The 17,525-nt window shown below is 38.8% G+C and overlaps 1 protein-coding gene across 3 annotated transcripts in view; it reads right to left on the reverse strand.

Moving 5' to 3' along the window:
- Positions 1-17,525, reverse strand: part of DCBLD2 (discoidin, CUB and LCCL domain containing 2) — a 105,755-nt gene that overhangs the window by 46,153 nt on the left and 42,077 nt on the right. For all 3 annotated transcript variants that reach the window (XM_011512419.3, NM_080927.4, XM_024453348.2), the window contains one exon: positions 7,368-7,505. In XM_011512419.3, the coding sequence (XP_011510721.1) occupies positions 7,368-7,505 (138 nt within the window). The remainder of the gene's footprint in view (positions 1-7,367; positions 7,506-17,525) is intronic.

The raw sequence follows: 17,525 nt of genomic DNA on the forward strand, positions 1-17,525 counted from the left end.
AAGTTACTGTATTATTTACTAGAAATAAGAAAATATAGGCCGAAACAAGAAAATGTACACCTATTCATTCTTCTCTCTTATGTGATCTAAAATTATTTAAATAACCAATTTCCCAGAGCCTTAAACAATATGTGGTCTTGCTTTCATAGTTCTCATCTTGTCAATAGCCTTGCATCGTAGATATATGAACAGCTACTCTGTTCAAGTGCTAAAGGATGTAGGATAAGCCTGGTCTTCTGCTAAATTCTCCTGACAATATTATTGTGTGGTCCTAAGACTAATTCCTTGCTCCTATTATAGGAATCTGGCATTGATTTTTTAGCATCTGCAATTCTGTTAAGAGAAATTTACATATATAGTATAGTACAACATAATTTATAGTGATTCAGAGCCAATTAACATTTACTAAGTACCAGACACTATACTAGGTATTTTACCTCTTCTCTCCTTTTACATACTGAGAGTGGACACTAAACCTTATGTTTCTCTTAAGAATATAACAATGTCATCTATGAAAGCAGAGTCCACAGTAGAAGCCCAGAAAAAATTTTCTCAGATGAAAATAATTAATGCTTTCCTATGGATGATATAAAGCATAGCTCAGTTGCCTAAGCAATAAACTATGTAGTCAAACACGCTATAAGCTACACATGGTTAACTGGATCAAATCAAACTCCTTATCTAAATCTCCATACACTAAAAAATGAATACAAAACATTAAAATATAGCATAATTATTTTGTGACCTACACAGTATCTAGGAAGCTAATAAATACATTAGTATTTATCAACAGTGAAGGATAGAGCCACTGTACAGCACAGGACAGCACAAACACGTATGTAGTCTCTTCTCAGCACTCCTAATATGCCAAAAAAATTAAAAACATAGAAAACATTAAAATCATTAAGATGCTCTTCAGGTTTATCTAACAGCTTGGAATAAACTCTATCCTGTAATGTGAATTGCCTCTTCAGGTTAACACCATCTTAACAGATTAAGTGTTTAAATTCTCTTTCTCTGCAAAATTGGTAACACTTTGTTCGTCAGCACCTTTGTTCTACAAACTGACACCAAACTACAAATATTCTTCTGCGTGTTAATTATATTATACATACAAACATTATACATACTCATTTGTATGGAAATAAAAGCATATCTAAAGATAGGAATGTAAACTGAAACTTCATTAATAAAATCTTACTAAGTTTAATAGTATCAGAGTTTTAAAATGTTTGCCAGATACAGGAACCAAAATTTGGAACCCAATATAAAAATAACAAATAGGAACCTAGCCAATTGTAGTACTGGAAACAAAACAGATTCTATAAAATTACTGTACGGTTAAGAAGGCAAACAATCTAAGGAATTCACACTCTATTTTCAAAGCCGAAAACATTCCATGCAGGAAAAAAATAACCGGTTACAGAAATTTGGACTCTGCTAGAAAGGAATTATCTAGTCAGCCCTACGTTTCATTTGCAAACTCATATAATCTGATGTAAGAATGAAAAAATGGCAAATATTTGCAAAAATGATGTGGTTAAAAAATGCAGCAAATATTTTTTATACTATTGGTGTTAATTCTAAAAATAATCCATCATATAGCAATGATAATCTTGTTAAATGGGAATATTTTCCAGGCTCAGCTGTTTACAAGTCTTAAGTGCACTGTCATCAGATTCTAAGGGGTGGCAGACAATGAATGAACATGTGTTTATGAGTTCCGATTAGGAACTATATTAATATCTACATTATTTCACATGAAATTTTAAACTATTTACTATTTCTCCCGTCCAAAATAAAGGCAAACTTTATAGACTGAGCACTACAAAATTTCGAGTTGGTGAAATCTAAAGTAGTAAGATTCAGTATTATGTTTTAAGTGACAATTTCATGTTCTCCAAAAAGAATACCAGGATCACCACTTTCCAATCATGCATGCACACACACACACACACACACACACACACCCCAATTATGGTACATATGAATAAATGCTGTCTTGAAGGACTTGAAGCTTTCAATGCAAATGTATATATTTCTTTTGAGTTCACTGTTTTATAACTACAACTTAAAAAATTCGTCACCCAGAACCATTCTACAAATGTCCAGTTCCTCCTAGAAACTGGTCATTGTTGAACAGATTCAAAAACAGAAATTTAGATCATCTATAAAATTCATTTTATTTTTCAATTCCAATGACAACCACTGTTTTTAAATCTACTTTTCAGAATAAAATGTCAGTAGCATTTATTATTATTATTATTATTATTATTATTTTGGGATAGAGTTTCATTCTTGTTGCCCAGGTTGGAGTGCAGTAATGCAGTCTTGGCTCACTGCAACCTTCGCCTCCCGGGTACAAACAAACGATTCTCCTGCCTCAGCCCCCTGAGTAGCTGGGATTACAGGCACCCACCACCACGCCCGGCTAATTTTTTATATTTTTAGTAAAGACAGGTTTTCATCATGTTGGCCAGGCTTGTCTCGAACTACTGACCTCAGATGACCCACCCGCTTCGGCCTCCCAAAGTGCTGGGATTACAAGTGTGAACCACCGCACCTGGCCACATTCATTATTATACTAAATTAAAAGATCCAAGTTACCTGAGTCTGGACCTTACTGTGGTAGGTTCTGCCTCACTCAGTAACACCAGCAGTAACTCAGGAGTTTCTATAGAGCTTCTAAACAGGGGTTGCCAGTATAAAAGTCCAAGATACCACAAAGGTCCACATACACGTTCAAATTTTCAGAAAGTCTGGCCGTGGTAGATGAAAACTGATTAACAGTATTTATTATAGTTCACTGTGTGGCGAATAGACTGTTAGAGAGAATACCTATTATGAGGACTATAGATGTGGTTGTTTGTATAAGGAAGTATTTAGTGGCTGCTTCTGTGGAACAGTTGAAATTTGTTGAGATTATGCTACTTTAGAGTAGAAATTATTAGTCCTCTCATAGTTGTTGGAAGTCTTGATTCATATTTCTATATATCAAATTGCTTGAGGAAATGGGAACTTTTCCTTTCACTATCTTTCAAAAATGAGGTTTATAGGTGAAAATGGAAAGAGATAACTGGTAATGAAAAAAGCTGAAAACTATTGCTCAAAGATCATTAAAAATAGCAGAGGGGGGAAAAAGCTTTATTAAAAATTTAATGAAAACTAGAAATGAAAGTGGAAGAGGACTCCAGGTAGAGAGCCCAAGATACAACCCGGGCATTACTGTAGCTCAGAGCTTTACCCAAGAGGGCTTCCTAATGCTCAAAGACTCTTCCTAGAGCTTAAATTCCACCAAGATAAACTCTAATTCATCGAAATGTTCCCTATAGAAGATATGTCTGACTCTACAGTCTTTACAAACTGGCATAATTCTAGTTACATTTATAACGAGACCTCTTAATTCAATCATCTCTGCTTTGCCTCCTCGGACAGCCTCTTAACGGGCCTCTCTACATTTATTCTTACTTTTATTTGACCCGCTCTTCACAGAGCAGGGAAGACTGCATAAACAAAAACATAAATCCAGTCACACCACTTCTCTGTTCTTAACATCTTCCTTAACAGCTTCCATGCACTCTTAGGAAAAAGCTCCAACCCTTACATTTTCTGTAAGGTTCAGAATAATGAAGCCTACTCTCCCCCAACCCAATCTACTTCAGCTACTCTGCTTTCTTTTCCAGTTCTCCCAGAGCTCTTCTCTACCATCAGGTTTTTGCACCTGCTGTTCCCTTCTGTAGAATGTTTTTCCTTCCTTGTCTGCCTGGAAACTCCAATCCTTCACTTCTCAGCTTAAAAGTGACTTCCTCAGGAAAACTCTGCTTTTTATCAATCTTCCACTCCCCACACACCTCTGGCCCCTATCATTTGGTGATTCTTTCACCATACTTTATTTCATAGTTGCAATGAAGTAATCGTTTAATATCTTTTTCCAACCCTATACTGCAAGTTCCATGAAGGTGTGATTGTGTCTTATCTACTGCTGTTTCCTTGGTGCCAAGTATAGGGCAGGAAATAAGGAATCAAAAGGAATAGATTTTTATAATGGGCTCTTGCACAAGGTAATGAGAATTAGTCTATCTCATGCAAAATGATGACTCTATCAACAACCCATGCTATAACACAAGTCATCTTGAGAGCCTAACAAATGAAGTAGCTGATGAAGCAATATTTTTCACAATCTTTTCATTCCCAAATACTCTAAATCTTCAACTAGACTTCTAGGCTAGGGACATGTAGCTAGGTTCCTTGAAAATATTTATGGAATTCATTGTGGCAGTTAAGTTTCCTGGATAAAAATATACTGAGGACCTCAACCAAAGCCAAGCAACCTTCAAATTAATGAGTCATTATAAGAAATTGTCATCAAAAAGCCACCCAAGAAGAAGTAATAAGAAATTCAACCAGTGTTGTCTTGAATATAGTTCAGGCAATTCATTCTAGTTCAGATAAAACAAATGCTTGATGGATGGGATAAAGACAGGCAAAAAATAATAAGATTTTAGGAGCTGTTAAATGAGATTTCCCAAGATGATTATGACTTTGGAAAGTTTTAGTATCAAGAAATTCCTGATTAAGGTGGTTGTTTCAAAAATCTTTGGAAGCTAAGATTCATCTAAAATAGAATATAGCCATTTGAAATTTGGTACAGGTTTGTAAGCTACACAACATACTGATTCTTTTATCTGAGGTCATAGCCAATTCTTAAGTAAATTTCATGCAGGACATTAAGGTTTCTGTGGGCCAAAAAGCCTCATAATTTAAATATCTAATATGAGAACCTTTTTTTAAAAAAACAGGATACTTATTTTCCAGAAACCTTCAACTTGATAAATAACAGAGAAAAGCAAAAATATGAATCAAAATAAATAATTTAACCTGATATTAAGAAACTTAATGAAAATAAGAAGCAAATTAACTTTATTTTCTATCCTCTCACCTATCAACCCAAGACTTTCAATAAGTAAAACTTAAAGGACGGTAATCCATTATCATCTCACTTGTGTTCTCTACATTACTCTTTTGGTGGTAGGGGTGGGGAACACGTGTATGCATGTGTACAGTGGTAGAAGGGGGGAAACTAACATTGTATGTGTCTGCTATGTCATGAGCCTACAAACAGTACACATGTTTTTATTAGATTCAGTCCTCACAACGAATCCATTCAAAGATACAACTCACAGTGGTGAAATGACTGGCCAGAGGTTAGCCAGCTAGCACGTGGCAGAGGCAGGGATACCAAGAGTCCTTTCCATAACATCACACTGACTAAGTTTTCCTGGTTCTGTCGAAAATATTAATTGTTCATTTGGCATAATGTTTCTAGTTCTTTTCTATTATTTCATCCAAATGAATTTTCCTTCTCATTTACTATGAAAGATTTTGTTAGCCTTCACATCTTGCCCTACTGCTTATAAACTAAGGAAAGGCAGGTTCCTCCACACAGAACAGCTCTCTCCTCTATCACTTTCTATATGAAACTTTCAATAAGACATATCGTGTTTATCTCAAGCCCACCATAGCTGAGGAGGAATCGCTTGCTTTCCCCTATAATTCCCAGTGCCCAGCATTCTCACAACTAGGAGGTTCTTGAGAATCTCCTCATTTATACAATATGAAGTAAAAGCCAATTTAAACTTTTAAATGGTAACTTAATTCAATGCTGAATATCAAAATAATCAACTGTTAAAAATTTAAATGATTGTTTTGATATATTCTTGTACTAGCAACACTTATTAAACTTTCTCATCATGGTACCCCTATATAGCAGGGGGAAATGAACACATCCCACAGCAGCTAAAACACGTGAGAGAGTTCATGCAGGTCTTGCATTTTATCTTAGAGATTCAGGTAAATTTTGGATTTTATTCTATTTGATAATCTTTTGTTTTTAAACTTTTAAGTTTGGGGTACATGTGCAGGTTTGTTCCATAAGTAAGCTTGCGTCATGGGGGCTTGTTTTACAGATTATTTTATCATCCAGGTATTAAGCCTGGTATCCATTAGTTATTTTTCCTGATCCTCTCCCACCTCCCACCCTCCCAAAAGCCCCAGTGTGTGTTGTTCCCCTCTATATGTCCATGTGTTTTCATAATTTAGCTCCTATTTATATGTGAAAACATGCAGTATTTGGTTTTCTGTTCCTGCATTAATTAGTTTGCTAAAGATAAGGGCTTCCAGCTCCATCCATGTCCCTGCAAAGAACATCTCATTCTTTTTCATGGCTGCATAGTATTCCATGGTATACATGTCCAAAACTTTCTTTATCCAGTCTATCACTGATGGGCATTTAAGGTGATTCTAAGTCTTTGCTATTGAATAGCGGTGCAATGAACATACACATGCTTATGTCTTTATGACAGAATAATTTATATTCCTTTGGGTATATATCCAGTAATAGGATTGCTGGGTTGAATGGTATTTCTGTCTTTAGGTCTTTGAGGAATTGCCACACTGTCTTCCACAATGGCTGAACTGACTTACACTCCCACAAACAGTGTATACGGTTTCTTTTTCTCCACAACCTCACCAGCATCTGAATAACCTTGTTTTTAATTTTCCCCCTTTACACCACATTTTCCTCCTAAACATTAGCAATTTAGAAATATCCCATGTTTATTTCATGCTGTCTCAGCACTCCTCAGGTACTCCTGGGGATGTGAGATCTTATTCTTTGAAAATAATGGTAGTATGGTCTTTAACACAGCACTATGAAGTGGTAAACTGTGAATAATAATGTTTTAAATTGATATAAAACATTTCAATAATTTATAAATTTTAAAAATGTTATTATAGGCCGGGTGCAGTAGCTCACACCTGTAATCCCAGCACTTTGGGAGGCCGAGCCAGGCGGATCACCTGGGGTCAGGAGTTCGAGACCAGCCTGGCCAACATGTAGAAACCCCATCTCTACTAAAAATACAAAATTAGCTGGGCATGGTGGCGCATGCCTGTAATCCCAGCTACTCAGGAGGCTGGGACAGGAGAATTGCTTGAACCCGGGAGGTGGAGATTGCGGTGAGCCGAGATCACACCACTGCACTCCAGCCTGGGCAACAAGAGCAAAACTCTGTCTCAAAAAAAAAAAAAAGTTATTATAGCTCGTGTTCCAATCTTATAAAAATAAAAAAAATCAGCATTTCAGCAGTATTTCCTTTACTAAGGAAAGGGAAGTAACGTTTATGTACTTTTATTTTTGGAACTTTGAAACTGAACTCACCTTATTTGTCAAATTTATATATGTGCTATTAATTGTTCAGTCTTTCTGCTCTATTCCAATTTCAGAAAACAGGTACTTAAAAAAAGCATTTTATTTTTGTTGTTAGAAATTACAAACTGTAGGAACCATTGCAAAAGGTGAAAATTACCTTGTTTATCTATAACAGAGTATGAGGCCAAAAATCCGCGTCCAGAAACATGGATTCCACTCATGAACAGCAATGTGATTTCATTGCCTTTTGATTCAATTGAATGGTTCATTTGCAACCCCAGACCACAGTATTTGCCTAGGAATGAAAGAAAAGCAGATTATTTGGGATGACTCTCATGAAGTCAATAATATTTGCAATGTAGATAACAGAAGCAGAATAATATACCAAGCTGGCTGTTAAATTAGTATGGAATAATGACTAAAATGTTTAATGATTACCAATCATATTGCTCTGGAGGAAAAAAATGACAAGTAATGTCTATTCAAATGATTCAAAAGGAAAAGCAGTACATGCATCACTGAACTTATAGAGATTAATTTCCTGTGAAAGACATGTATACTCTTTCAAAACAATAATGAGGGACTAAAAAAAAAATTAACAAAATATTTCATCCAGGCAGGTGGCTCACAAATGAATTGATGATTAATTAGTAGTATTCTTAAAGTGCTTCCCTCAAACCCCTTAGATTCCAGCCTCAGGTCATCCCTCAAGCCTTTTTTTGGACCTACTCAATTTTACTTCTGAGGGTTGTTGGATTTCTAGTTAATCTCTTTAGGTGATCATATCTGATCCCATGGCTTTAACTATGATCTGACAACTCACAAGCTTAACCTTCCATCCACAGCTTTTTCCTTGAATGTCAGATGCATATATAAAACTGTGTGCCTAAATTTCATCCTTTAATGTCTATCACAGAGGTGCCTCATCTTTTGGTCTCCCTGGGCCACAGTGGAAAAAGAATTGTCTTGGGCCACACATAAAATGCATTAACACTAATGACAGCTTTTGGGCACGATCAATCAACCAATAAACAAACAAACATAAATAAATCACAAAAAAATCTCATGTTTTAAGAAAGTTTATAAATTTCTGTTGGGCCGCATTCAAAGCTGTCCTGGGCCGCATGTGGCCTGCAGGCCACAGGTTGGACAAGCTTGGTCTATCAGATATATAAAAAATAACATATCCTCAGTACAGATCTAAGATACTAAGATAAAAAGAAAGAAGAAGAAAAATTAAAGCAAGACACACACTAATAAATAATAAAAACTGATTTTCTTATGTGCTTGGTAACTTGTGTAAGAAAGCCTGAATAAGGACTTCCAAAAATGTTTTAAGCTATGGCAACATCACTTGAATAAGAGTAATGTGGACCTCCAAGGATATCATTTTCAAGGATGATACTTTATCTTATGAGTAGTGAATTCTAAGGAATTGACAAATAAAACAAAACAAAACCTCTCTAGAACTAGTAAAGAAACTTAGCTAAGTCACAGGATCCATATACAAAAATCAACTGCATTTCCATATATGCTAGTGCAATCTGAAATGAAATTTTTAAAACTCCATCCATAATAGCATCAAAAAAGTTAAAAAACTTAGGAATAAAATTGCTTTAAAAAGTTCAAAATCAGCATACCTCAAAATAATAAGAACTATTTATGACAAACCCACAGCCAATATCATACTGAATGGGCAAAAACTGGAAGCATTCCCTTTGAAAACCTGCACAAGACAAGGATGCCCTCTCTCACCACTCCTATTAACATAGTACTGGAAGTTCTGGTCAGGGAAATCAGGCAAGAGAAAGAAATAAAGGGTATTCAAACAGGAAGTGAGGAAGTAAAATTGTCTTTGTTTGCAGATGACATGACTGTATATTTAGAAAACCCCATTGTCTCAGCCCAAAATCTCCTTAAGCTGATAGACAACTTCAGCAAAGTCTCAGGATACAAAATCAACGTGAAAAAATCACAAGCATTCCTATACACCAATAACAGACAGAGAGCCAAATCATGAGAGAACTCCCATTCACAATTGCTACAAAGAGAATAAAATACCTAGGAATACAACTTACAAGGGATGTGAAGGACCTCTTCAAGGAGAACTACAAAGCACTGCTCAAGGAAATAAGAGCGGATACAAATGGAAAAACATTCCATGCTCGTGGATAGGAAGAATCAATATCAGGAAAATGGCCATAATGCCCAAATGTATAGATTCAATGCTATCCCCATCAAGCTACCATTGACTTTCTTCACAGAATTAGAAAAAACTACTTTAAATTTCATATGGAACCAAAAAAGAATCCATGTAGCCAAGACATTCCTAAGCAAAAAGAACAAAGCTGGAGGCATCACGCTACCTGACTTCAAACTATACAAGGCTACAGTAACCCAAACAGCACGGTACTGGTACCAAAACAGGTATGTAGACCAATGGAACAGAACAGAGGCTTCAGAAATAACACTACACAACTACAACCATTTGATCTTTGACAAACCTAACAAAAACAAGCAACGGGGAAAGGGTTCCCTATTTAATAAATGCTGTTGGGAAAACTGGCCAGCTAGCCATATGCAGAAAACTGAAACTGGGCCCCTTCCTTACACCTTATACAAAAATTAACTCAAGATGGATTAAAGACTTAAACGTAAGACCTAAAACCATAAAAAACCTAGAAAACCTAGGCAATACCATTCAGGACATAGGCATGGGCCAAGACTGCATGACTAAAACACCAAAAACAATGGCAACAAAAGCCAAAACTGACAAATGGAATCTAATTAAACAAAAAGGCTGTACCAATTTATTCCCCTTCTCCCCAGCAGTATTGGTGATCAAGAGACTGGTAACTTGTTATTTTCTTGATTAACTTTTCCAATGTGTGTTTACTTGTAAAATTTCCTCTAGTATGTGATCTTTTAATGCTTCTAGGATATTTCTTTTTTTTTTTTTTTTTAAAGGAGTCTCGCTCTGTCACCCAGGCTGGAGTACAGTGGCGTGATCTTGGCTCACTGCAACCTCTGCCTCCCACGTTCAAGCAATTCTCCTGTCTCAGCCTCCCAAGTAGCTGGGATTACAGGCGCACACCAACACGCCAGGCTAATTTTTGTATTTTTATTAGAGACAGGGTTTCACCGTATTTGCCAGGCTGGTCTAGAACTCCTGACCTGTGGTGATCCACCCACCTCGGCCTCCCAAAGTGATGGGATTACAGGCGTGAGCCACCGCACCCAGCCTTCTAGGGTATTTCTTACCAGGATTCCCTGTCAGTTTCATTTTTAACTTCTTTTATGTTACATATATGGCAAAACGGAGATTTTTCTGGGTAAGCCTGAACTAATCAGGTAGGCCCATTAAAAGCACATTGTTTTCTCAGGTTGCAGAATTGGAAATAAGAGAGACACATGCCAGGTGGCCTGGAAGAATGCAAACATCTATGTAGCAACTTGCCTATCAGGGCCATTGCAAGTCACCTCTAGAAAGTTAAAGCAGTCCCTGGCCAACAGTTACCAAGAAAATGGGGACCTCAGTTTTACAACTGCAATGAACTGAATTCTACCAACAACTAGTACACTTGGAAGAGAACTGTGAGCCCCAGATGAGAAACGTATTCCCAGCTAACACCTTAATTTCAGCCTGGTGGGACCCCAAGCAGAGAATTCAGTCATGCCATGCAATGCCTAGACTTCAGATCCATGGGAAGTGAGATGATAAAACTGCGCTGTTTTAAGTTGTAGGCTTGTGATAATTTATTAAGAAGCAAAGTAAAACAGAATACAACCAGGAATTTAGTGTACAGTCCAAGAATATTGTGCTTTTGGATAATTGAATTTGATAGAGGTATGGAGGCGAAGTTAGAATTGATGGCTCAGGACCCAAATTAGCCCACAGGCCTCTTGGTCTGTACAGCTCTGGGCTATACTCTCCTTCAAAAATGTTTAAATTAGGTGTTAAAGTTCTCAAAATCTGGAAACTTAACATAAATTCTGAATTTCCAACTTCTCTTGAAAAATCACAAGGAAAAAAAGGAAATCTAGGCCAGTTTTCTAAGTGGTTGTCCTTAAGTAGCAGCTGTCCCCTTTGAAAAAGAAAGTCACACTCCAGTTTGCCACAGCCCTATCACTCCACAATGCCACCAGTCCTGAAGCTCAGCTATCATTTATCATCATGGCTATGCTGTTATTCTTCATATGCCTAGGCCATTTCACTCCTTTATTTCATCTGTCTAGACCCTGTTGGCAGTGAGCTTGTAGCCACTTGTACAGAGTATAGAGACCTTATGGTCACCATGCCTCTTCTGATGTCCACATCAACCACAGTAGATGAATAACAGCAATAAATTAAGCTCTAGAAGGTGTTAAATGGAAACATTCTGTATTCAAAAGAGGGGAGATAGTGCATCTGACTCTGATAAACCAGAAGTATAATTAATATTGTTACGAAACTTGAGAAATCTTATTTATGTTCTCAATTAAATGGAAGCTCATTCAACTTCCTGAGGTGTGCCACGGAACAATGCTCTCCTTAGGAATCTGCAACTTAGAAGGATGAACCAGAGGGTAGAGAGTTACTTGCTAGAACAAAAGCACATCAGCTCTGCCCACTTTCAGTGGAGGGAAATGAAGCTTGCTTAAAGAGCCTCAGTCCTAATTTACAAACTTATTTACGAACAGGTTTTTTTTTTCTTTTTTTAACTAGTATAGAGCATCTCTAGTCTCAAAAACAAAATTTGGAATTCTCAAAGGAACTCATTTACTGAAACTCTGAATATCCAGGCACTAAGCCAGGCAGGAACTGGGGATTCAGTAATGGAATGAGAGGCAGTGATGCCCTCAGAAAGCTTAGTGTAGTGGGACAAATCAAATGTACAGTTGAATCCTCTAAGGTACAGAAGAGGCCATGATAGCTCCTGAACAATGTTTACCATAGATGCTATCATTAAATAACTCCCATCAGTAGTTTCTTTAAAAAGTCTGGCTTTGAGGACCATTGTCTTATGCTTGGTGGGCCAGAGTGAGGTGGAGATGTACAAATTAACCCCCTGCTTGGAGTGGTTGAGTGTTCTCTTTTTGAATGTCTAAAATGTCTTCCCATAATCATTTCTCTTATACTGTGAATAAGCTGTCCTTTTGGCTGGATTTAGCCTTACTTTTAGCTGCTTCAGCAAAGACTTGCCTGCAGAAGATAATGATAGGAAGGTATAGCTCTAATTTCTTTTTGAACAATTAGACTATTGGGTATATATTTAAAATGGGACATAACAGATATTTACTAGGTTTAAAAGGGATTTAACAATATTACTAAAAATGAATTTGCCTCTCCTTCTAAAATATAGTGGTTTTAGAAAAGTATTTTAAATTATGTTTTTCTACAACATATCATAGTCATTGTACATCTTGATTTTAGAAAAGTGGCTATTTTGGTGTTATTCTTCTTAAGCAGCAGATCTGATATCTGCACATTTTAAAGTGAATAAACGCTGCAAGGGAAAAATGTACCTTGACACTTTGACTCCTACCTCACACAACACAGATAAAAATCAATTCTGGATGGATTGAGGATAATATTAGAAACAAATCCAATAAGGCTTTAAGTGGAAAACTTTGAGAAGAGCTTCACGACCTAGAACTGGGCAAAAATTTCTTAAACAGAATACAAAAAGTACTAACCATAAAATAATTAGTAAACGCAAACTACATAAAATTAACGTTTATTTATCATAAGATACCAGTAAGGGAGTAAAATGGCAGCCCATAGCAATGGAGAAGATACATTTACTACATCTAAAAAGAACCCATTACCCGAATATATACAGAACTCCAACAAATGAATAAGAAAAAGATCTCCCAATAGAGAATATGCATGAAAATGTAAACAGATTTTTTATAAACAAAGATATTTAAATGGATAATAAATGTATGAAAAGAGCACAGTATCATCAGCTATCAAGGAAATACAAAGCAAACTATGTATAACATGCCATCAGTACACACACACCAGAACAGTTAACATGGAGAAAAGCAGAGAATGGTAACTAGAACTCTTATACACTGGTGGTGGGTATAAAATAGTACAGCCACAAAAACATTTGGCAATAACTGCTAAAGCTGAACATATGCAACCCAGTGACCCAGCAATTCCTCTTCTACGTATAGAAATGTGTACTTACGTACATCTTCAACATAAAAAAGTGTCAGTTTTACCACACTCACACAAACATAACATTAAAATTTTAATATTTTTTATGAATTCAAAAGTCAGGAAAAAAATGTAGTTTTAAAACTATGCATTTCTTTGACTGTAAGCATAGTTCCCTCCTCTAAAATCCTTTCAGAACTGTAGCTCAGACAAAAGAGCATATAGGTTTTTACCACTATCTACAATGGTAACCAAACGGTCTTGATAGAAAAATTTATAGCATTCAGATGGGCTGAAATATTCATAAGGTAATATCAAAATTCCCCATCGAAATTTTCCAAGTGGGCTTTCCTTCTCTCTTATGAAACTTCTACTTTAGCAAAGGACTTTAAGAGTTATCTTTTGGAAAACAAGCCAACTCTGTAAAGAGAGCTTCACATTCTATTTCTTAATAAAACATCTTGAAAAGGTAGTGATTCAAGGTCCTAGCTCTTACTAAGTTGACAGATTATTTCAGTATAGCTGGCAGTTTCTCATGCCAAGTATGCTAATACAAAAAGCAATGAGTCATAATAATGTGAAGACTTCAGCAAAACCAGATGTGGTGCCAAGCATCACAGATGAGACATTCATAGAATATCAAGAAATTTCTTTAAAGCTTTTCTGAAAAAATATACTCTTCACTACTTAGGAGATGTCAAAACCTTTTAATATTCACTTAAAAGGCTCACAAACAGGAATTCTTGGATGGGGGCAGGATCTCACAGGAGAGTAAGTTCCCTCCAGTTAAATGCTGAGAAATGGACAGTTGTCAATTCCTCAATAATCTGCCTCAAAACCTCAGAGGAAACATTTAGGATACTGAAAGAACAAAACAAAACAACAAATATATATGCAATCTCTCCCGAACTATGGTCTCTCTCAGAAGAAAAAAAAGAAAAAACTATATTAACAAAGGGGCCTATTATGAGCTACAAAGCTTATAAACCACTGCAAACTGCCAGCCCTATCCACAGAAATACAGAGGTACAATGTTAATCTACTTAAAAATACACAGTATAAAAAGAAAACAAAAAATGGGAATCCCTAAAATTTAGTTTATGAAAACCCTCTCCCCCTATAAAAACAGTGACAGAAGGAAACTACAGCACAACACTCCAAAGTTAATTAAATGTCCTCATACATTTGGGATATGATAAAACATCTTGAAGCATAAATTCAGAAACTAGGGGCAGAAATGGACAAAAAAAGCAGAAAGAAATGAGAGTTGGTTGACCTCAGGAAAGAAATATAAGAAAAAGACAAAAGTATACCAAAAATGAAGAATTAAGACATTATAAAGTGCACAAGGAATTACAGATTCTAACGAAAACATAAGGAATGTTGAAAAGAAGAAAAAAAACAGACTAAAAAGAATATTTAAAAAGTAAAAAGGATCAGTGAGAATGTGGCTGAAATGAAAGGGGATATAAATGGCAAAGAAGATTCAACTGACATATAAGTGTGTCCAGAATTGGTGGGTTCTTGGTCTCACTGACTTCAAGAACGAAGCCGCAGACCCTCGCAGTGAGTGTTACGGTTCTTAAAGGTGGCATGTCCGGAGTTTGTTCTTTCTGATGTTCGGATGTGTTTGGAGTTTCTTCCTTCTGGTGGGTTCGTGGTCTCACTGGCTCAGGAGTGAAGCTGCAGACCTTCGTGGTGAGTGTTACAGCTCTTAAGGCGGCACGTCTGGAGTTGTTCATTCCTCCTGGTGGGTTCGTGGTCTCGCTGGCTTCAGGAGTGAAGCTGCAGACCTTTGCGGTGAGTGTTACAGCTCATAAAGGCAGTGTGGACCCAAAGAGTGAGCAGTAGCAAGATTTATTGCAAAGAGCGAAAGAACAAAGCTTCCACAGTGTGTAAGGGGACCCAAGCTGGGTTGCCACTGCTGGCTCGCCACTGCTGGCTCCGGCAGCCTGCTTTTATTCTCTTATCTGGCCCAACCCACATTCTGCTGATTAGTCCATTTTACAGAGAGCCGACTGGTCCATTTTACAGAGAGCTTATTGGTCCGTTATGACAGGGTGCTGATTGGTGCGTTTACAATCCCTGAGCTAGACACAAAAGTTCTCCACATCCCCACGAGATTAGCTAGACACAGAGTGTCGATTGGTGCATTCACAAACCCTGAGCTAGACGCAGGGTGCTGATTGGTGTGTTTACAAACCTTGAGCTAGATACACAGTGCCGATTGGTGTATTTACAATCCCTTAGCTAGACATAAAGGTTCTCCACGTCCCCACTAGAGTAGCTAGATACAGTCGATTGGTGCATTCACAAACCCTGAGCCACACACAGGGTGCTGATTGGTGTCTTTACAAACCTTGAGCTAGATACAGAGTGCCGACTGGTGTATTTACAATCCCTTAGCTAGACATAAAGGTTCTCCAAGTCCCCACCAGACTCAGGAGCCCAGCTGGCTGCACCCAGTGGATCCCGCACCGGGGCTGCAGGTGGAGCTGCCTGCCAGTCCCGCGCCGTGCGCCCGCACTCCTCAGCCCTTGGGTGGTCAATGGGACTGGGTGCCATGGAGCAGGGGGCGGTGCTCGTCGGGGAGGCTTGGGCCACGCAGCAGCCCACGGTGGGGGGCAGGCTCAGGCATGGCGGGCTGCAGGTCCCGAGCCCTGCCCCACGGGGAGGCAGCTAAGGCCCAGCGAAAAGTCACAGCAGCTGCTGGCCCAGGTGCTAAGCACCTCACTGCCTGGGGCTGGCAGGGCCAGCTGGCCACTCCGAGTGTGGGGCCTGCCGAGCCCACACACACCCAGAACTCGCACTGGCCCGCAAGCGCCGTGTGCAGCCCCAGTTCCCGCCTGCGCCTCTCCCTCCACACCTACCCGCAAGCTGAGGGAGCCGGCTCCGGCCTTGGCCAGCCCAGGAAGGGGCTCCCACAGTGCAGCAGCAGGCTGAAGGGCTCCTCAAGTGCTGCCAAAGTGGGAGCCCAGGCAGAGGAGGTGCCGAGAGCGAGCGAGGCCTGCGAGGGCTGCCAGCACGCTGTCACCTCTCATAAGTATTAAAAATAAATACACAAAGCAATGGAACAAATATTAACATTAAAAAATAGGCATATAGGATTACCTCACACTAAAATGCTTTCGCATAGCAAAGAAAACAATCAACAGAGTGAAGAGACACAGAAAGAGAAAATACCTGCAAACCATGTATCTGGTAAGGGGTTAATACCAAAAACATATGAGGTCAAACAACTCAAAAGCAAGAAAACAAGTAACTTTAAAAATGAAAAAAGACCTAAGTAGGCATTTTTCAGAAAAAGTTTATGAAAACAATCCCCTCCCCTATTATACAAATAGCCAACAGATATATGAAAAAATGTTCTGGGTCCTCCGTTCCAAGATGGCCGAATAGGAACAGCTCCAGTCTATAGCTCCCAGTGTGAGCGACGCAGAAGATGGGTGATTTCTGCATTTCCAACTGAGGTACTGGCATCGCTTCACCTGGGAAGCGCGTGGGGTCGGGGAATTCCCTTTCCTAGCCAAGGGAAGGGGTGACAGATGGCACCTGGAAAATCGGGTCACTTCTGCCCTAATACCGCACTTTTCCAATGGTCTTATAGCAAACGGCACACCAGGAGATTACATCCCACGCCTGGCTCGGAGGGTCCTACGCCAACGGAGGCTCACTCATTGCTAGCACAGCAGTCTGGGATTGAACTGCAAGGCAGCAGGAGGCTGGGGGAGGGGAGCCCACCATTGCTGAGGGTTGAGTAGGTAAACAAAGCGGCCAGGAAGCTCGAACTGGGTGGAGCCCAACGCAGCTCAAGGAGGCCTGCCTGCCTCTGTAGACTCCACCTCTGGGGGCAGGGCATAGCCAAACAAAAGTCAGCAAAAACCTCTACAGACTTAAATGTCCCTGTCTGACAGCTTTGAAGAGAGTAGTGGTTCTCCCAGCATGGAGTCTGAGATCTGAGAACAGACAGACTGCCTCCTCAAGTGGGTCCCTGACCCCCAAGTAGCCTAACTGGGAGGCACCCCCCAGTAGGGGCAGACTGATACCTCACATGGCCGGGTACGCCTCTGAGACGAAGCTTCCAGAGGAATGATCAGGCAGCAACATTTGCTGTTCAGCAATATTCACTGTTCTGCAGCCTCCACTGCTGATACCCAGGCAAACAGGGTC

The sequence above is a fragment of the Homo sapiens genome, chromosome 3 (genome assembly GCF_000001405.40).
Source record: "Homo sapiens chromosome 3, GRCh38.p14 Primary Assembly".
In the NCBI taxonomy this organism is placed as follows: domain Eukaryota; kingdom Metazoa; phylum Chordata; class Mammalia; order Primates; family Hominidae; genus Homo; species Homo sapiens.